The sequence below is a fragment of the Homo sapiens genome, chromosome 12 (assembly GCF_000001405.40).
Source record: "Homo sapiens chromosome 12, GRCh38.p14 Primary Assembly".
NCBI classification, from domain to species: Eukaryota; Metazoa; Chordata; class Mammalia; order Primates; family Hominidae; genus Homo; species Homo sapiens.
In genome coordinates, this window is record NC_000012.12 from 69,261,688 (window position 1) to 69,283,925 (window position 22,238).

The following is a 22,238-nucleotide window of genomic DNA, read 5'->3' on the forward strand; positions in this document are numbered from 1 at the left end:
TTATTTCCTTACTGTGAATTTAGCAGAATTTATAGAAGTCTTTTGGGTAGTAAGCTTTGGTTAAATTATTTGTTTTTAAAAAATCGCAGTTCATGAAACATTTCTACTTATTAAATACAATGTGAATACTATATCTATTCTTGCTACTGGTCATAATTGTTAGCCCTCTCCCATGCCTCTTCTCCTCCCCTGAATATAACATGCGTATTAGAAGGTTTCTTTGTGTTGGATGCTGCTCATGAACCATATGTTAAGAGGTTGTCATATTCATGTATTTAAGCCCCATTGTGTGTTGTGATTTCATGACTTTTATATCTAAAAAAACCATATTGTAGATGTTCTTTAGCTTGAAACACGAGTGCTTTGAAATTTTCCCTTTACCTTTCTATTTGTGCATTCAGTAAATACTACACATCTGTTTTAGGCTACTAGTTTAATAGATGATGTGATGCATTTCTGTGATGTGTCTGGTTGCTGATTTTTTTGTTAATGTTTTTAATAGTGAAATTTCTGGTTCATGCTTACCTGGTGAGTTGGTAAGTCGTTATTGGCAGCTCAGGATAGTAAGTTTAAACCAGATTTACAAAGAATTTTTGCTGCCTAAGTTTTTTTAGACATCAAAAAATTGAATATTTTTAGGCTATCTAATTATGGAGAGCATTAATCCAGTAATTTCTTTTAGAAGACGTGAACGATCAAGAGAGAGGGACCATAGTAGATCACGAGAAAAGAGTCGACGTCATAAATCCCGTAGTAGAGACCGTCATGACGATTATTACAGAGAGAGAAGCAGAGAACGAGAGAGGCACCGGGATCGTGACCGAGACCGTGACCGAGAGCGTGACCGAGAGCGCGAATATCGTCATCGTTAGAAGGTGGGTATTCCTTGTTCCCTGTTAAATGTGTGTGTATTCTTAACAGTAACTATAACTCCAAGGCTACTGTTTATACAGTATATACCTACATTTTAAATGGTCCAACTACTTGTGAATTTAATCTTCTGGAAACATCTGAAACAAATTATAGGTAAGTAATGACAGGTAAAAATTTTGACCCTTTATCTTATGAATATTTTATTGCTGAGTTATCACTTTCAGGTTTCAAATAGTTAATGGTCTTAACAAAGCAAGGAAATAATCAAGAGGACTCATTGTGTACTTCTAAAATCTAAAAATTGGGGTTCTTGTATCACATACATAGGTTGCATGCAATTTAAAATACAAAACACAGGGAGTTATTTCACATATATGTTATGTGTTTGGATTTTTAAAAATAAATGGAAAGTTACTATTTTTGAACTAGTTTTATTTGTCCCTAAAAATTTATGAGAAAATCTAACACAATAATAGTTTATAATACAGGAGGGTGTTTTCTCAACATTCAAAGAGAATTTTCCTTTAAAAAAAAAATTTTTTTTTTTAGAAGAGACACTATCCTGACATCTGCTTTTTGTTTTTAAAAGAAACAGTATCCTTTAATTTGCAAAGAAGATGTAAAAGTTAATCAATTAAAATGGGTTTAGGGTGCACTGATTTATATCTAAAAATTTTAAATTGTGTCAAGCCATATACCCAAGTTTAGAATACCTTGAAATAATTTTCTTTGATGTTTCATTCATAAATCATAATCATTGTCTTTTTTTCTGTATTTTAAAACTTTCTTGTGTACATTTTTCATGAAGTGGGAAGAGTTGTCTGTTTATGCTTCATTTTCACATGTAATTTTATTTTTTATATTTGTTAATAGCATTTATTCATGTGAAGAGCTGGGGGAGGGCACTATAAGGCTTATGCATGTGACACAAAGGTTATTCTGTAAATTAAAATATTTTTTCTTTATATGTTGGTTGGCATATTCAAATTAAATTAAGGCTAAACAAACCCCTCATAGGTAAATACTCTTTATGTGATTATTTTCAGTAATCATGGGAAACTTACTGAAAATTCAGTCATGGTAATTGTTAGTATTTAAATTGTTATGGGCAAAATTAAAGGTTTTATCAAGTGTATGTAATTCTGTGACAGAATACCAATTTCTTTAACCATAACAGATACGCAAATGAAGTCCTTAAATGCCTAGAAAATAAGCATGCTATTTTTATGGAACACAGATATAAGCTCCTACACTATTTACAATTTTAAGGGCTTTTTGAGTTAAAAGGCTGGTTTTGATACTTTGCATTTTGAATATGCAGATTGAATATCAAAACTTTAATTTGTAGTTTTCCATGTATTACAAAATTTAATATAAATCTCAAAACATTCTTTTAATATGAGGCAAAAAAACCTTTTACTTTTAAAACTAAGCTTATTGAAATTGATATTGTTTTTGAATGTAAAAATTGAATGTTGTATTATGTAAATCTAAACACTAAATTTTAAAGATGTAGCACTTTTTTCCCCTGAGTTAAATACATCTGATCCCATCTTAATGAAAAAATTCTCAATATCCATCAGTTGCTTAAACTGGATTGTGACTGGGTTATTAGTTGAAATGCTTACCTATGTCAGTCATTTCCATTATAGAAGGGTACAGGTTCTGTAAGTTACCTATTTTTTTGGACTTTATAAGTTATCAGCAAGCTTCTTGTTAGTAAAGGCATGATAATGAAACTTGAATTCATCTACAAAATTGGATGTGCCCATCAAGGGGCCTCTAAACCAATTTAAGCCCAAAGTTAACTAATTACAATTTCTACTGGTTTTAGTAAAACTAGCATAGTCAACCAAGTAAACAAAGTCCATTGTTAATCTTATTTGAGTTAGCTAACATTACATTCTAGTAATGGGTACACCTAAATATATCATGACTTGAGTTTCATTACATTCAGACATAAACTACAAATTCCTAATGTGCAAACTATTGTTGACATTTTTCTTAATCACTGATGTACCATACCAGAATTTCCATGTTTTGTTTGTACATTAATCAGAATTGAGTTGTAATACTGTATGTGCCTTCATCCAAGAAAAATTTTACATAAGCATTTCTAGTGCAAAAAATTCTGTTATCCTGGATTATTGTACGTTTGCTATATCAAACAGTATTGTGGATGTAGACTTGAATAAAGGGGTGGGGACTGGGATTAAATATATTCAAGTAAATCTTTAAAACAAAAGCTATCTGCAAATTTGATCACCATCATAATAAGGTCTGTTGACCTTTTTAGAAGTTTTAAAATATGAGTCCTTTTGAGCTTTCATGTAAATCTTAAATGGACCAAATGGACTGAGTGATTTGAAAGCTAAAGTGAATGTCACTAGTAAGGCTGTATACAAATAAAATACTAATGTAATCTATTAAAGTGATGATGAATGGCTAAAAGGGCAAGTTCTTAACTTTTTAACTGGAAACGTAATGATCTTGGCAAGCTGTTAATGTCTGTCCCATCTTAATTTTTTTTTGTGTTTGAACTGTTGGTAATGTTAATTGCATTCTCTCATTTTAAAATGTATTGGTTTTTCTAAAAGTATTCAATATCTAAGTTCAAATAGATAATATTTTAATGAGAAAATACCAATATTGTAAATTTCAGTATGTAAATACGTTGTGCTTCATATTCTGTAATTTCTACCTCTATTCTCAGACCACTCTGAGCAAAATAAAAGTAGTTCAGTGCTTTACGATTGTACATTTTTTACTGAAATAATTTTAGTTTCATAGTTGAGTTACTTAAAAGGTTACGTTCCTCTTGTCACTTCTTTGGAACATCCCTACTCAGCAAATTTGTGTTAACAATTCAGCTTTTCTTTGTTTACTGAAACCAAATTATGTTTTTTTAAAATACTCTTTATTCAGGCTTTTCCTCTCTCTATTTTATGAGGTTTTACAATTCTCAAATCATCCATGACAATTTTTAAGCATTGGGTATGGGGTCTGGATTAAATAACTTGCCTTTGCTATCTGATTACTTTTTTTTTTTTTTTTTTTTTGAGATGGAGTCTTGCTCTTGTTGCCCAGTCTAGAGTGCAGTGGCACAATCTCAGCTCACCACAACCTTCACCTCCTGGGTTCAAGCAATTCTCCTGCCTTAGCCTCCGGAGTAGCTAGGATTACAGGCATGTGGCACCACGCCCGGCTAATTTTGTAGTTTTAGTAGAGATGGGGTTTCTCCATGTTGGTCAGGCTGGTCTCAAACTCCCGACGTCAGGTGATCCACCCATCTCTGCCTCCCAAAGTGCTGGGATTGATTACAGGCGTGAGCCACCGCGCCCAGTCTAGTCTGATTACTTTTTTCCTACCTTAAATATCATGATCTTAGGATCTTAGATTTTGTTATTGCCCAAGATTTAGGATGCTTTGCATTGTGTATTCAGCTTATTAGCTTTGTGTTAATTTTGAAAAAAAAAAAAAAAGCCAAAAGAATAAAAAAAATTCTTACATGTTAAAGATGTTTCATTTTCTTCTTAGTGTTGCTTTGAGGCTTATGTGAAAATTAAATTCTCTTAATTACCTGGTGAATGATACTGGTTATAATAAGATTTTAAAATTGTTTCTGCAGCTCTTAGGTTATCTGAGGTCTGCGTTATAGCTCCCAGCCCTGTTTCCTTGTTTTCCCATGTATCCTAACTGCTCTGCTTCATCTGGATATGTATGCTAGCTTTCATTGCTTTAGCTCTGATTTTTCTTTGAGTATTCACAAAACCTGTCTCACTACACAGCTGACTTAATTGAAGTTACAAGAGGGAGTAGGAAGTGATCCCTTGAATGGATGTATAGTGTGTTTTGCTCACTGTGGTTTAAGAATATAGTTTTGTTTACAAATGATTAATGTTCCCTGTTGAAAAAAAATTCAATGCCAGTGTGAGTCATCTTGCTCTCTCACCGTCATCTCAGTGTTAAATTTACTACCATTGTTTTAGTTTGTAAAATAGATTGTTTTGAGTAAATTCTGTCTTGAATGAATATTTAGTTAACGTTGTTTAAAGAAACCTAATAACCAAAAAGGGGTAAGGGTGCCATTTATGCTATCCAAATTTTATGAATTTGTGGTAGCATGTTTTGACTCTCCATGAATTATAAATAACAGGTTATTTTGAGATGTTCATTTTGTAAATCTTTTGGGAACAAACCTCATTTTTCTTTGAATGTGATTAAGTTTATTTCTATTTTACTGGGTTGTAAGAGCAATTATGTATGTGTTTTATAGAGTAATAAAATGCTTTACTTAAAATGAGGTAAGTACTATGTACAGAGGTAGAAGAAAATATGAAATGTTTTGGTAGCAAGAACTTCTTGTAAATATCTACAATAACTAGAATTGTTTTTATGTAATATGTTCTAGTCAACACAAGAAGGAATTTTGATTTTAGAGTTAACTCATATGTAGATAATTATTTCTCTTGCCCACCTCATTTCCATTCCTCTTATTAAGGAGAAATTTTCAGATAGAGAAAAGTGAATTTTATTTCGTTGAGTTAGTAGTGCATCTCTAAAATTATGAGAATCCTTTTAATTCAGTATATTAATGTGAAAATCTATAAAAGTGCCCTGTCAAGTATTTATTTAAATCTTAAAAGATGAATTTACCATGAATTTAAAATACTAATTCTAACAAATGTGCATAGATAAATTTCTAACAGAAACAGTTATAATTTGAGTTGTTAATAATGGCTTGATATAGTATCTTAAAATACAAGTACTTCTCTGTGTGTTGAAATTTTACTTAGTGCTCACTTTAGTTTACAGACTTTATTAAAAAGGTGTAGATTCCATTTATCATCTTAGTTGTTTTAACATCTGTTTACATAGGCCTTTCTTTTATAATTAATAGCTAAAGCAAGTAATTGTGTGGCTTTGACATTACAGATTTTACCAAATGATACATTGAAAACATGGACGTTGAATGTATTTGTCACTTTTAAGCTTCTTTTTGATATCTTTGTTGATGTAGTTGCCTACTTAGACATTTGAGAGTATAATATGGAATTGGATTATTGGAAATGGGTTGTATTGCCTTCAAATTCACTTTCGTTTAAGACTGTAAAATTTGTATTTCCAAGTGCATAAAATGTAAAGTGTTTAGAAATAGAAATAAAAACTGCTAGACTATCCCCCATATTTTATGTCTGTATGGTGAAAATTAGATTTATTAATAGAAAAGATCTATCTATAAAGTATAATCAAACAAAAGAGTGCATTAGTCCTGGGAAAAGATGTGTGTTGCAATTTTACAAATGGGATTCTCTATATAAAAATAGTATAATTCTCCACTGGAGTGATAATGACACAAAGATGCAGTGTATGTGATATGTTTTATGGAAGAGTTGAATATTTTTGTTTTGCTATGACTTTAAATAGTTTTTCCCTCTTAATGACTTTTTATCCCTTCCAGCGCAACAGAAAATTTAGGGAGATAGCATTCTTTTGCAGTTAGATTTATTAATTTCCCAGTAATTATTATTTCAGGTTAGAACATATGCCTTGTCTCTCTCTAATACATAAACCTGTTTTTTAATAGTGTAGTGCAGATAATAAAAATAAAACATTTGAAAGCTGCCATTTTGTATTTTTTCCCCATTAAATAGTTTCACTAAATAGCTTCATCAACATAAGATGAAGATGCAATAAAAGATAACAATAGTAATGGCTGAAGTTATCTGAAAGATACAGGCATATAGAAACTATATATATAAAAGAGAAGTCTGGATTGTATTTTTTTTTCTTTTGCAGTTTTAAAATTTTAAGTTATTACTGCTAGGCAGTGTGAATGCATATATGTACTGATGCTCTTAAGATACAACCTAGGAAAGGACATAATAGAAAAATTTATAGCAGTGGCAGAAGTAACTCTTAATTGTAGAGCAAAAAGTATTTTTCAGTTATTTTTATTTCAAAATATCACTAAACTGTGCCCTATGAACATGTTCAAACTGAAAAAAAATTTTAAAAAACCTTCTGCCCTCTTGACTCTTAAATCACTTTATTATTGAAGTGGTTTCTTGTCATTTATACTTTCATTACCGACTGTTTCAGTGGTTACTTATATCCAAGTTAATTGAATGTTTCTTGTGAACCTCTACCTGAAGTTTGCATATATATGTATTCTTTAAATTTTAGTTTATCAACTTTATTCTATTTTTTTTCTTTTATGTGAGTTTTAAATGAACTTTATCATTGTAGATTCCCACTTAGCTTGTTTTGGTTAGTTTATAATACTACGTTAGGTATTTCTATATAGGTGGAATAGACTAAAAGTAAAGTAAATGTTTTAAATTTGTATTACGTCTAAAGATTTGTACGTGGATGTCATTAATTTAAATGTCCATACTCTATTTATAAATCTTACTTACAAATTTTGTAACATGGAACACCATTTGATTTATAATACTTGCAGAAGTTCCTGTATGCTGTTAAATAAATTAATTTGTAAAATAATTTTGCATTTTATATTTAGTTCAGCATTTAATTGTTAAATGAGTTTATAGACTTGATATGTGGGTGAATGAAAAATATTTACATAAAAATCATCCAAGCATTTTCCATTTATTTTTGTAGTATGCATATTTTAGAAAATGACTTATGAATGTTTCCATCATCACAGAAACAGTAGCTGCTATGTTTTCATTACTGCTTCAGTCATTAAATTTATAAGGCAATAATATTTAAGAAGAATGAAATCAGAATGTCTCAGTTTAATCATCAGGTAAATTGGAACATTTCACCACCACAAAGGCAGCTACTGTTTCAGTTAATTCTTATTTTGTGTTAGAATACATAACAGTGAAGTAGATGCACGACTTGTGTATGTATAGTTAAGCCAGCGTTTTTCTGTGTATTTTGGGGAATAGCAAAATCTACATCACAAATTTTGACACATTACAGCTGAAGGAAGAGGATCACCTTCCAAGACAAAACAGTCTTCATGGGGGAAAAATGACGCTTGTCCAGCAGTTTGCTTCTTGTGATTGAACTGAACCTGTAAGGATTCATGGATAAAATGAACAGGAATAGATCTGAATAAAGCAAATCTGCATAAATGGTAACCAGTAGCTCTACTTTTATTTTTTATGTTGCTTAACTGTTTTATTTGAAGGAAACCTGTGTGATTTAAAAAGTTATAGCTTTTGCAACTTTATTACTGGTTATATACATTTGGCCATTATGATGTGCAAGCAATTGGAAAAAAAGTCAAGTAAATGCTTGTTTTTGTAGTAGTTTGTTCTTGTTAAAAATGTTTATATGATAATGTCTGTAAACAGCATCACTTTGATTACAATAGATGTAGTGTTGTAATAAACTGTTTAATGGGGCTGATGTGTAAAGCTGTTCAAGTTATTTGATGTTTACACCTCAGGGAAAGTCTTGTGTTCAGCAATATCTAAAGATAATGTTACTATGACAACATTTTTACTGTCCTTTAAAGCATTGCAATAGCGTTTTTGGATATGCCTCAATCTAATCTTGCGTTCAGTGAATTAAACATAGTAATTAAGTGTCTTTTGCCCTTGATTTTGATATTAGAATAGGTGATTACATGGATATTTAATATTTCTATATTCTGCTTTTCTAGCTGTTTTTACCTAGTTAGCTTGTGACTTTGCTGAATGGTATGTAAACTTGTAAAAATAGAGATTTGACAGACATAGCAATCTAGTCAATGTGTAAGGGGTCAAAAAAACAGAGGTTTTAACACATAAGTAAAAACCCGTACATATTTGATGTGTAATGCAGGTTAATTACAACACAGATGTACCGAAACACTTAATTGTGAACCGCTAACATTGAAGAAATTTTGACAATTCCGATTTGATGCTGCAATTACTTGCTGTTTTTATTGATCTTATGGTTTATTTCTTAAGCCATAGTCAGTGTAAATACAGCCCTGCAGCAGGTAAATGTGAGTAAAGAGAGCCTTATATTTTCCAATTGGTATAAATTTTTGAAGGATGTGATGTTCATTAACATTCGGTTGTATTCCCCAGTATTTGTAATGGGAAATTACAGATAAACCGTGTCTGCACAGTTTAAGGAATACTATGTATATTCATGCACCGTATTGATTCATGCTATAGTTACTTAATCAAAGATTTTTTTCAAACCTGCCTTACATATAGGCCCACTTTAAAAGCACCTGACTAGCATGTGTTCTTGATTGCAAAATTGGCAGAGGCAGGGTGTCAACTTGATTAGGTGTTTTTATGGGAATGTAATTTGAAATCACTACTTCAGAAATTTGACTTAAAATTCTTGAGCACGTTAATATGTTTTTAAGATCTGATTATCTTTGAGAGATCTTCTGTTAATACACATTGGTTGTTAAAGAGTACCCAAATTCTAGGACAATGCTTAAAGTGTTAAAATACCCTAGATACTGTGTTATGTGCAACTGTAGAAACCCTCCAGAAATTTCCACTGCTGTTCTTCACTTTCATCTTGTCTGCTATCAAACCACTTCTGACAAAATTAGCTGTTTTGAATTACCCATATCACTGCCAGTTTTATTTTAAAATATTTTGTGTTTGAAGTATCTGTGCATGGGATCGTTGATGTTTATCAGAACTGTTCACTTTCAGAAATGATTTTTTAAAGCATTTTGTTGAAAATGCGGTTGCTTTTTTAACATTATTTTAGAGTTGTATCAAAATTTTCCTGTTTTCTGTATATTGTTGTGTCATTTCTTGGCTTTTTAATATTTTGACTACAATGCCCTAATGCGAAGAAGTATGGACATATAAATATTACAAGAGAAATTAGTTAATAGTAAAGGGTTAAAAGGTAAGTAAAATGTCCATGAAAATAAAATTTTCTTTGAACAGTTTAAAAATGGAATCACAAAAATCTAACTGCACTTGAAATGAAACTGGAAATTTTATACTAATTAAATCCTTTATTTACCTTTTCATATTTTATCAATGGAACCTTTTAATTGCTCCTTCTATATCACTCTTCTCCTTGCTTGGCTGATCTCATTACATGACTTTCGTTACAGACAGTGTGAGTGTACTAGATTTGTTTGCTGCTAATCCGTTATTTTAAGTGTTGTCAGAAGGAAATAACTTCTTGGTTTGACCAAGTAATTTTGCAAAGTCCTTCTCTACCTGATAACACGTGAATGTATAGCAGTAAAGGTGAAAATTGCAGGCCTTGTTTTGTTCTTCATACCCCCTTCAGTTGTTTATGGGTTAATGTTATTTGAAAACTCTTCCTTTTTTTAATGTGTAAAAACAATCCAAAGAGATAAATCCTTGCATAGACACCAAAAACAGTGTCTCAGAGACCTTTTCATTTTTTCCTTAGTTAATAACTGTAGTGGATGTGAAAACAAACGAGTTGAATTTTAAAACATAGCATTTATTAGTGCTATACAGTCACATTCCTTTCAGCCAGTAGTAAAGTTAAACAGATGAGTGATACAGTACCTGAATGGTACTGCTTCTGAGGCAACACTTTGGATTGAAAGTGCTGCTTTTGGTTAAAGGAACTATGTTGTGGAAAGCATATTCCAGTGTAAATTTGCAGATGTGTGTTTTTTTTTTTTGTCACTTTTCATAAGGTTTGGAGTAAGTTGCAGTGGCTTTTGATCATAGTTTAGCCCATTTAATGGTCCTTTTACCTAGAATGTTCTTAAGCAGTTAATGACAATTTGGAATACACAGATAACTTGTAGCTTAAGATACTATTTTCATTTAATTCTCCTGTGGAGAATATTGCTTTATTTTTTACTAGTTTCAGGTCAGTTATTAAAATAAACATGGAGGTTTTAATGAATGTTGTATAATATTTTATAGTGAAGGAAAATTGTGGAAAGGGCAAAGACTTTCTCTTTCCCTTATGTATTTAACTGTGCCAATCTAAATACATACTGTTTTATACAATGAGATGCATTACAAGACTTTTCTGTTGGAGTGCTCTCGACATTTTGGTTTTCATACCTGAATGATCATTGCATTTTCTGTATTTTCTAAAATGGCTCCAATTTTGTGTTTTAAGCTTCAGCTTAAGAGGAAGTTTATGTTCTAATTCTTGACTGAGAATACAGTATTGAGATTCTCTGTTTTACAGATAACAACTGGTTTTTATTACTCATTAAGTTCATTTGCATCCCGTAGCCCTCTGTAAATGTTTCCCCTAGTTGTATGTACGTAAATGCACGCTTATCCAGTGTATATTAGACATTTTTGTGCTAAAATATATTAAGTGGGATTTTTGTAGCAAAGCATTCTATTTTTCTGTTCTTACAGTGTGTGTGTGTGTGTGTGTGTGTGTGTATGCGTTTTTTTAACCTTAACTTCAGTTTAAACACTGGTGTATTTATTTTTTTAAGCAACTTGACTCTTAGAAGCCTTAGACTGATTTTTTCAATAAATATTCAACCAAAAATTATAAATTTATTAAGATGTGGCCTTACATATGGCATTCCTTGTGTTCGTAATGTGAGATTTTTGATTTAGATAAATCAAGATTCAGGATTAAAGTTTCATTGTAAGTTGAAATAGAAAATGTATTAAAATGTCTAGGCTTCTGGGAGGAAGTTCTTATACTCTTCTTTCTTGGCATTAGAAAGAAGCAATATGAATTTTTGTGAATATTCTAAATATTCAGGCAACACTGTTCAGATTGATTTAGGTTTGTCTTAACCAATGTTCTTTTTTTAGAATTTCAGGTTGTGGCATTCACTGAGTATGCAGCTACTATGGTTTTTGTATGGGACGTATAAATACTTGATTATATACGACAGATTTTAATGTCTTTAAAGACTTCCTGCTGTATTAACATATTGTAATGGAGTCTTTTAAATACTAGGTTGAATTTAATTGAAGTCACACACATCTTGAAGTGGTAACTGCATAGTAAATACTACCAAGAGTTTTTTTCACGTGGGAGTATCCTAAAACTCTGCCATGGGTGTAAATGTTTTACATTAATTTCATAATTGGACAGACCCTGCATTTAGCGAAAACATTTTGTTTTGAAAGTGTGTTCTTTTTGTCGCACTGTTACTGCGTAACACTTCTCAACATTCTGTAAGTTAAATTATTTTAAAATAACTATGGTGAATTCATGTTTATTTTTTTACTTTGAAAATTGTAGTACTCAGGTGGTATTTAATGGGAAAGGATCCTTTGGGTATAAATCATAATGTATTTTAAGGAATGCATCTATAACATTGATAACTTTAGCCTTAAAAAAAAGGTCTATTATTCCTTCCTCTGCATCCCATGGTATATTAGCAAAGTAGTTTACAGCCCTGTACAGCCTTACAAAGTTGTTTTACAATTTTTAATGGAAAGCCCTTAACAACAACAACAAAAAATTGTATCATTTTACCAATATCCACGAATTACTGATCACAGTTTGTAAATAATTTGTTTAATATCAGAAGGCCAAAGAAAGTCTTAAAATTTTAGCTATTGACTCTATGGTGACTTCACAATAAGATTTCTGTGCAAAAAGGTAAGGTGATAATTGATCTAATAGACTTTTTTTTTTTTTTTTTTGCTGTCCATGAGAATTAGACTTCATATTAGCTTCAATTAAAAAGCTCATTCCATTTTATTAAAATGTTTGTAATTGCAATTTTGTGTTTAATGTTTACTTTGTCTTTCCTTTCTTTAGCATTTAGGTGACTGTTCGGCAGTTTGATATATGGCCATTGTCGGCCTTAAACTGCACTAGTAACAAGCATGGTATTTATCTTGTATTGAAAATAAAACAAACTTTTGATAAGACTTTGCAGTTTGTCTTTTTTGTTTAATTTGTTATTTGGTAACCATTGTGTATGGTTTTAAGTAGTTAATGTTTATTGGCAATATGCAGTATAGCAGAAATTGGACTGTTGTCTGTATTCTATCTTTAAGCCAGATAGTGGTGGTTTTCTTGTGTATTGACATTTTGGTGCTCTTTAAAGCGACTGATAATTGGGCTAAAATTAGGATTAAGAGGCCTGACAGATTTCCAGGCTGTTACATGGTTTTTAAATGGAAGATTCAGAAAGCATTTGTCTAGTTTTAGAGGATCATTAACCTTACTAGACTTAAGTAAAAATGTTTGTAGCAAAAATATTTTACTGGTTAGCTTGGAAACATTATGGGGTACTTTTGAAACAGTAACAGACTTCAGTTTCAGTGATTTCAGTAGATATTTCTGTGCCAGGTATTAATATCAGGCCTCAGATTTCTTACCTGCAAGCTTCAGAGTATTAAAGGTAACAGTTCTAAACAAGTGAATATGAACATGAGAAATAATACTACCATCACTGGGATCCCTTTCCATGCCTCCACTAAAATTGTGGTTCAGATTTTTGTTAGATTTCCTGTTACTGTTTGTTGTATGTTTCCATTGATCAATCCCTATTTGTGTTGAATTAGTTGAGACTCTCGTCCCTACCCTGTGAGGTCATTTAACTTTAAGAGAAGATCATTAGGAATATTTTTTGGCCAGATGCCACACTACATATGACTCAGTTCAAGACCTAATTTAGTGAAAGAGAGAAGCTTTTTTTTTACAAAAGATTTATGGACAGACTTTTCCCAGTCTTCCTAGTTTTGTTTCAGAGCCATTACCATGAAACAATAATTATTAGAAATGATTTCCAATGATGTTGTTGGTCTTTTTCTCCCATTTATAGTTCATTAACAGTTCTTGGATTTTCGTGTGGTACATCAGTTCTGATAAACTATTGTCAGTTCCAGATAAATGATATATACTTTACCTTTCAAAAATCTATATTCATTTTATAGAAAAACTTTAAAAAATGAAATTTACTACTTTAATGTTATACTGAGATCTGTAGGAAAAAAATGGTGAATGGGAAAGGGAAGTACCTTTTAGGCAGAGACTTGCAAAAAGGGCTTTTGGCAAGAGGAGCATGCTAGTAGGAACTGAAAGAATGCCAGTTTGGCTGAAGCAGGGAGTGAAGAACATAGCCTATGTGTGGAGCTCAAGCAGTTGGCAAGGCTAGGCTCTCCGGAGCTTGTAGGTCACATTAAAGATTGTCCTAAGAGTCATGTGGAATCATTGAATTGTGTGAAGTGTCATAATCAACATTTCAAAAAGCTTCTTGGCTGCAGATTAAATTGATAAAAGAATAGATAAAAGAGAAACACCTCTTCCTGTCAGGAGAGAAGATAAGGGTAGATAAAAATAGAAGTTTGTGGGCTGTAGGTGTGTGGTAGAAATTTTAAGATGTCATATTTAGTGACTTATGTTTTCTTTGAAATAGAAATTGAGGGCATTGTGGTGTGGGCATGGCTTAGTTTAGAAGTAACAGTGTTTATCTGTGAGATTGTCAGGGTTTGCTATCTAAGATAAGGCTCCCATTTTTATGGTGGCAGTCCATCTAGTAACACATTCATCCCCTGGGAGAGGGTAGATGGATCAAGCTATGGGACGGAGAAGGCAGTAATTGTCTTCATCAGTTTTCACTTTAACGGTTGTCAACCCAGCTGAAGAACACAATCACCGATGCTGTCCTGTTGTTTTTTAGGGGATTGCTATTAACATTTTATTTTTTGAGACAGTCTCGCTCTCTCACCCAAGCTGGAGTGCAGTGGCGCATTCTTGGCTCACTGCAACCTGTGCCTTCCAGGTTCAAGTGATTCTTCAGCCTCAGCATCCCGAGTAGCTGAGACTATAGGTGTGAGCCATCACACCCGGCCAATTTTTTTTTATTATTTTTATTTATTTATTTATTTATTTATTTTTTGTAGTTTTAGTAGAGACGGTTTTTCACCACGTTGGCCAAGCTGGTCTCGAACTTCTGGGCTCAAGTGATGAGTCTGGCTTTGCCTCCCAAAGTGCTAGGATTACAGGCGTGAGCCACTGTGCCTGGTCAACCATCAACATTTTTTAAAAATTGTTTTTGTACCTATTGCTTCATTAGTTTCTTAATTATCCTATAAGACAGTTAGTATTCTTTTTTTGTTTTTCTTTTTTTGAGACAAGATCTTGCTGTCATTCAGGCTGCAGCGCAGTAGTGTGATCATGGCTCACTGCAGCCTACCCCGGGCTCCTGAGTAGCTGGGATCACAGGTGCATGCCACCATGCCTGGCTAACTTTTTTATATTTTTGGTAGGCATGGGGTTTTGCCATATTGTCCAGGCTGGTCTCAAACTCTTGGGGTCAAGCAATCTTCCTGCCTTGGCCTCCCAAAGTGTTGGGATTATAGGCATGAGCCACCACACCTGGCCAGTGTTCTACTTTTAAAAGGGAGGTAATGGGCTCTGAAAGGTTATGACTAGCAGAATATAGTGAGTAGAGGTTAGAATGATTTTATGATTCTAAATTTTCAGTTATTTACTGAATGTCATGATACTGAGCCACCACCCCTGTAAGATTTTAAGCTTTACTGATACCCAAACTAACCATTTAGGAACATACTACTTTAAATTTTTCATTTGCACAAATGTTGAGTACCTACTCTACAAGATACTGTGTTAGATACTTTTGTGTAAGATAGGCCATAGCATTTTATTGTGGTATCTTGTCTCATGTAAATACAGGTTCTACCTACACAATTACTATAGCTGTCAGATATGAGGTAGGTGGGTCTAACATGCAGAAAATGTAGGCACTGAGTCTAGAAATTGGACCCCTCCCCATTACAGTATAGAAACCAGTCCCGTGTACCACTTTAGCTCTTTATTCCCCCTGAAATAGGTTATCATTTTACATCATGACCTCTTCAGCTTTCCTCAAGTAAGGGGAAAAAATTATCTTAACACAAAATGCAAGAATCTTACCTAGGCGTCTAACCTAAGAATACCGTCAGAAGTTATTTGTAGAACGTGAAAACTGGAGCTAATAGTTATTAAAGGTAGGCCGGGTGCAGTGGCTCACACCTGTAATCCCAGCAGCACTCTGGGAGGCCTAGGCAGGCGGATCATGAGGTCAGGACATCGAGACCATGCTGGCTAACACGGTGAAACCCCGTCTCTACTAAAAATACAAAAAATTAGGCGTGGTGGCAGGCGCCTGTAGTCCCAGCTACTTGGGAGGCTGAGGCGGGAGAATGGCATGAACCCGGGAGGCGGAGCTTGCACTCCAGCCTGGGCGACAGAGCGAGACTCCGTCTCAAAAAAAAAAAAAATAGTTATTAAAGGATTTTATTGATGGCTGCCTTTTCACAATAGTATATCTTAGGTTATGTATTGTAAACACTTTTCTGATGAAGTTATTTTTATACAACTTAGAAATTGATCCAAGGATACTGGCAGCCCATTCTACTCCAAGTGTGTAAACTTGAGCCTTTTATATTTCACACTGTAAACACATGCTGTGTATGCTTGTGCACAGTGAGAGACTGCCTACTTCTATAGCAGTCCATTTTATGTTTTCCTTGACTTACTAAATCATCTAACTATGAATGGACACTAAAAGACGTATGGCCCACCTCCTCTTATCTCTATTATGTGTACCTGGGCAGTAAGTTATCTAGAGTAATTTATCTTCTGACAGTTGTTTCTTCTGCTTACACACACAGACAGAATGTGCCCTCTAATTAGATTTGGCTGATACTAGTTATTTGATCGGTTAATAGGAAAGGTAAAAACGGAGTCAAATTTATGTTTGTTCTTTTTAGTTTCCTTTGCTGTTTCTCTCCCCTAACCATTTAATTTTTGAGGGCACTTCCAGGGGACTAGTCTCTACATTTGGTGCTCTTATCCAGACTCATGGCTGTAGGATTTACATGCTGTCAGTTTCAAAATTTATATTTCCAATTCAGATGGGCTAATATTTCAGCCCCTCCTCTCCCCTATCTGCCTGTTCACAGTCTTACCCAACAGCGAATATAAATACTGTCATTTCAGTTGTGTAGGCCCAAAACAGATCACTCTTGACTCCTCACACCCTACATCTACAGGGAAGTACTTTGTCTCTACCACCAGAAAATACCTGGGACCTCTTACTAATGCTGGGGTTGCTCTCTGCCTTTGCCACTGCACAGTCTGTTGTCAGTATAGCTGTCAGTCTATATTGTTTCTTAAAAATCCTGCAGTGCCTCCCTATTTCTTAAGAGACAGGATCTCTGTCACCCAGGTTTGAGTGCAGTGGTGTGACCATAGCTCACTGCAACCTTGAACTCCTGGATTCAAACGATCCTCACACCTCAACCTCCCAGAGCACTAGGATTACAGGTTTGAGCCACCTCACCCAGCCCACTCTTCAGTTCTATCAGAGTAAAGCTGCAGTCCTGGCAGTCCTGACAAAAGTCTCTCCATGATTTGCTCCCCCATTCCCCCCACTCTCACTTTGGTTGGAGTGTAGTAGCATGAGCTCAGCTCACTGCAACCTCCACCTCCTGATCTCAAGCAATTCTCCCACCCCAGCCTCCTGAGTAGCTGGAGGTGCGCACCACCACACCTGGCTAATTTTTGTCAGTTTTGTAGAGATGGGCTTTTTGCCATCTTGCCAAGGCCGGACTCAAATTCCTGGACTCAAGCTCCTCCTGCCTCAGCCCCCCAAAGTGCTGGGATTACTGGCATGAACTGCTGCGCCCAACCAATTTGGCTTCTCTTACCTCTGACCAGATCTACCAGTACCTTTCCCCATGCTCACTCCATTCTAGCCACTCTGGCCTTGTTTTTCAAACAGGTTAGGTATCGTCATGTGTCTGAGCCGTTGTGTGGGCCATTTCCCCTGCCTGGAATGCTGGAGATAGCTGCCTGAGAAGAATCTCAGTGAGGTTTGTTTTTACCATTCTATTGAATGGAAACTGCTACCTCCCTTAATTGCTTTATTCTTTACTCTTCCCATGCATTTATGACCTAGCACTATGTATTTTGCTTGTTCGTTCAAATATAAAGTCCCATGAAAGCAAGGATCTTATTGTAGTTTCTGTTAAATCCCAAGTGTCTACATCAGCTTGTGGCAAGCAAATGTTAATATTTGAATGAAGGATCTTGAATTGTAGTTCTGCCTCACTGTCTTGTTAGCAACTATTTTAAGAGCTGCGTCAGCATGTTTAAAATTGTAAAGCATATAGAAGTTGACATTCTAACAATTTTTAAGCATACAATTCAGTGGCATTAAATACATTCACAGTGTTTTGCAACCATCACCACTATCCATTTCCAGAACTTTTCCATCATCCCAAACAAACTCCCCATTCCCACCCTAGCCCCAGTCCCCGATCATCTCTCTTGTACTTCTGTCTCTGAATTTGCCTATTCTGGCTACATCATATAAACAGAATCATACAATATTTGTGTTTTGGCTCTGGTTTATTTCACTTAGTATGTTTTTTGTTTTTTTGAGACGGAGTCTCGCTGTGTCGCCCAGGCTGGAGTGCAGTGGTGCAATCTCGGCTCACTGCAAGCTCCGCCTCCCGGATTCATGCCATTCTCCTGCCTCAGCCTCCCGAGTAGCTGGGACTACAGGTGCCCGCCACCACACCAGGCTAATTTTTTATATTTTTAGTAGAGATGGGGTTTCACCGTGTTAGCCAGGATGGTCTCAATGTCCTGACCTCATGATCCGCCCGCCTCGGCCTCCCAAAGTGCTGGGATTACAGGTGTGAGCCACTGCGCCTGGCTATTTCACTTGGTATGTTTTTAAGATTCATCCATGTTGTAGCATGTGTCAATATGTGGCTGAATATCATCCCATTTTATGTACATATATGCCACATGTTTATCCATCTGTCAGTGGACAGCTTGTTTCTACCTTTTGAATATTGTGAATAATGCTACTATGAACATAGGTGTACAACTATCTGTAAGTCCCTGTTTTCAGTTCTGGGTATATAGGAGTGAAATTGCTGGGTAATGGTAATTCTATGTTTAACTTTTTGGGGAATCATGAAACTTTCCCACAGCTACTATACCATTTTACGTTCTCACCAGCAGTGCATGAAGATTGTAGTTTCTGTACATCCTCAACAATACTTATGCTTTTCTTTTTATCTGATAGTAGTCATCCTAATGGGGACAAGTGGTTATTTCATTGTTAATGGCAATTTTTAAAGCAGCTCATTTTTATGGAGACTTTACAAAGTACTTAACTTGCCGGGCATAGTGGCTCATGTCTGTAATCCCAGCACTTTGGGAGGCCAAGGCGGGTGGGTCGCTTGAGCTCAGGAGTTCTAGCCTGGGTAGTATGGTGAAACCCCATCTCTACAAAAATACAAAAATTAGCTGGATGTGGTGGCACAGGCTTGTGGTCCCAGCTACTCAGGAGAATGATGCGGGAGTCTCGCCTGAGCGTGGTAGGTCGAGGCTGCAGCAAGTGAAGATTGTCCCACTGCACCCCAGGTTGTGCGACAGACACTCAGTGAGACCCTGTCTCAAAAAGAAAAACCAAAGTAAACTTAGTTTTCATTGAACCAATTCTCTTTTGCACTCAAATGTTTCATTGGTTTACATAATACTGAGATGAAATCACAAGCAAAATTACCATTGACATAGTTTAGAAATAAACAGCTGACTCTAAACATTACTAGTAGCATGAGTTCTTGGATATGATGTATTTTGTGTGACTAAGTCAGTTTTATAGAGAGAATGTATAGTTAGGTTATGTGGGGCCAACTGAGGGCTTTTAGAATATTGACATTTTCTTAAATGCTCTAAGTTTGCTCCTGAAAGTATGGTCTACAGGGTATCAACATTGGCATCACCTGGTCTGGGAACTGGTCACAAGTGCAGAATGTACCATGCGAAATCAAAATGTACATTTGAGCAAGATCCCCAGTGATTTGTATGCACATTAAAGATTGACAAATTGTGCCTTTAAACTACTTTTAATGGCTACCTGGTGTTTCAACTTGTAACATAATTTTAACCAGTTCTTGCCACTGGGTGTTCAGGTTATTTCACTAGGTTTTTGAGTATTATAAAGGATGCTGCAATGAATTTCCTTATAGGTAAATCTTAGTGCAAATATCTGTTTTCCAGTAATGAATTTCTTGGAGTGCTTGATTCAGAGTATGAATATTTGAGTTTTTGACACATTAAATTGTCCCGATTTACTTTTACCCAAGCTGTATGTGAAAATGTGTATTTCTCCACATTCTTTTCAGTAATTAGTGCTTTTAAAAATCTATCTTAGTGGTGGAAATGGGTATCTTATTTTTAACTATTTCGTGATTGTTAGAGTGGCTTAAATATATTTAAATGTTAGTTGTGTGCTTCCATCTAGAGATAGGCGTACATAAGAAATGAATCGGTAAATCATGATTTGGTATTTCCATTTTAATAATTGAGGAAACAGTTCAGTAATACAACCAGTAAAGGGCAGACCCAGGAACTGAAGATCTGATTTAGGAACCAAGAAAGATCTGAAAGATCCTTTTCTAATCTATCAAACCAGAATTAACCTAATATATTCTATTATGGTGGAGTTAGCTAATCAAATCAAACCCTTTTTATTTCCATTCTTATACTGAAAATGTTTCTAAGTTTACTTAGTGCACACAATGAGAGTCATTTAAAAGGAAGTTATTTAGTATTTAGATTGTTACCTTAGAGAATCCTTAGATAATACTTTTATTTTTATGTAGGGTCTCACTCTGTCACCCAGGCTGGCGTGCAGTGGCATGATCATGGTTCATCATAGCCTCAACCTCCTGGGCTCAAGCCTCCCGCATAGCGGGGACTACAGATGTGCACCACCACACCCAGCTGATTTTTGTATTTTTTGTAGAGGCGGATTTTGCCATGTTGCCCAGGCTGGTCTCAGATCCTGGGCTCAAGTGATCCACCCTCCTCGGCCTCCCAAAAGTGCTGGGATTGCAGGCGTGAGCCACTGCACCTGGCCTGAGAATACATTTACTTTTTTTTTTTTTTTTTTAAGGAAATTTATAGTATCCTAACATTCTGAATAGAATTCTCATGGTAGGTGTAAGAAAGTGGTCTTAATTTTACTTAGCTATGTAATGCTGCTTTTTGTTTTTGTTTTTAGCCCTAGGTGAAAGCCTATTATAGGCTATATATATAAATATATATATAATATATATATTACATATTATATATATTATATATATAATATATTACATATTATATATAATATATTACATATTATATATAATATATTACATATTATATATAATATATTACATATTATATATAATATATTACATATTATATATAATATATTACATATTATATATAATATATTACATATTATATATAATATATTACATATTATATATAAAATATATTACATTTATATATATAATATATTACATATTATATATAATATATTACATATTATATATAATATATTACATATTATATATAATATATTACATATTATATGATATATTACATATTATATATATTATATATATAATATATATATGTAGCATTTGAATGTCTATGTATGTGGTATTCAGGAAGGAGATACAAAGACAGTGAATATTACTTCTGTTTTTTTAGGAGCCAGGAAATAAAATAATTTCCATTCAGTGAGTAACTCAAAGTGATTGCAATGTGCAAAATACCTTGAGCATACAAAGAAAAAACAATTGGCTGTCCAGAAGAAAGGAACTAAAGAGACTAATATGTGCTTTTCCATATGTTATTTCATGTAAGTGTTAAAAACAGTCCTATTGGGATTCCTTGTTTACAGGTGAGGTAAGGTATTTTGTAAGATTCAGTAGCAGAGCAGTGATCCACGTTAGGAGTCAGAAAAGCCAACCCAGAGAATGTGACAGTAGAACTGACTCTTAGAGGTCATTATTTGAAGATATGAGGTGATATGTATATTGTGAAAGAATCTACAGATACATTAATAGGCTTAAAAAATTTAGCAAGATCAATGAATACAAAGTCAGTTTAGAAGCCAGATATAATGGAGCTAGTTTTAAATTTAATAAAAGGTGTGCAAAGTGCTCTTTGTAGAAAGTTTTAAACCTTTACTGAAAGACATTAAGATAGACCCAAATCAATGGACATCTGTTTGCTCCTGAAAGTGTGTTCTACAGACTGGCATCGTTGACATCAATATTCCTGTTGTCGGGTAGGAGGAATCAGTATCATTAAATATGACAGCTCCTCCCAAATCTATAGCATCAATGCAAATCAGAATAATATCCCAAGAAGTTTGTTACTGAATATGACTATCTGGTTCTAAATTTTATATGGAAGCTCAAAAACAAATGATAACCAAGAGGGAGGTGGAGTGAGACTTGCCTTACCAGATACTAAGCCGTATTGTAAGTAAGATAATACAGACTTGATGCAGGAATAGACCATAGAACAATATACAGAGACTAGAAACCACATATGAAAACTAGATTTATGATAGAATGGGAATCTCATACATAAATATCAATTCTAGGTGGATTAAATGTGGACTT

General features: G+C 34.2%; 1 protein-coding gene and 1 non-coding gene across 6 annotated transcripts in view; one reads left to right on the forward strand and one right to left on the reverse strand.

Moving 5' to 3' along the window:
• The window catches only part of CPSF6 (cleavage and polyadenylation specific factor 6), a 34,790-nt gene extending 22,119 nt beyond the window's left edge, over positions 1-12,671 (forward strand). For 2 of the 5 annotated variants that reach the window (XM_005268588.4, XM_005268590.4), the window contains 2 exons: positions 683-875; positions 7,825-12,671. In XM_005268588.4, coding sequence (XP_005268645.1) covers positions 683-872 — 190 coding nt within the window. In that variant the 3' untranslated portion in view covers positions 873-875; positions 7,825-12,671. Of the gene's footprint in view, positions 1-682; positions 877-7,824 lie in introns of those variants that run through there. The other 3 variants (NM_001300947.2, NM_007007.3, XM_047428132.1) reach the window with 2 other exon arrangements.
• On the reverse strand, positions 11,470-11,531 carry MIR1279 (microRNA 1279). The gene has a single exon (NR_031692.1). It is a non-coding gene; the product is annotated as a microRNA 1279 (primary transcript).
• Positions 12,672-22,238: the final 9,567 nt, after the last annotated feature.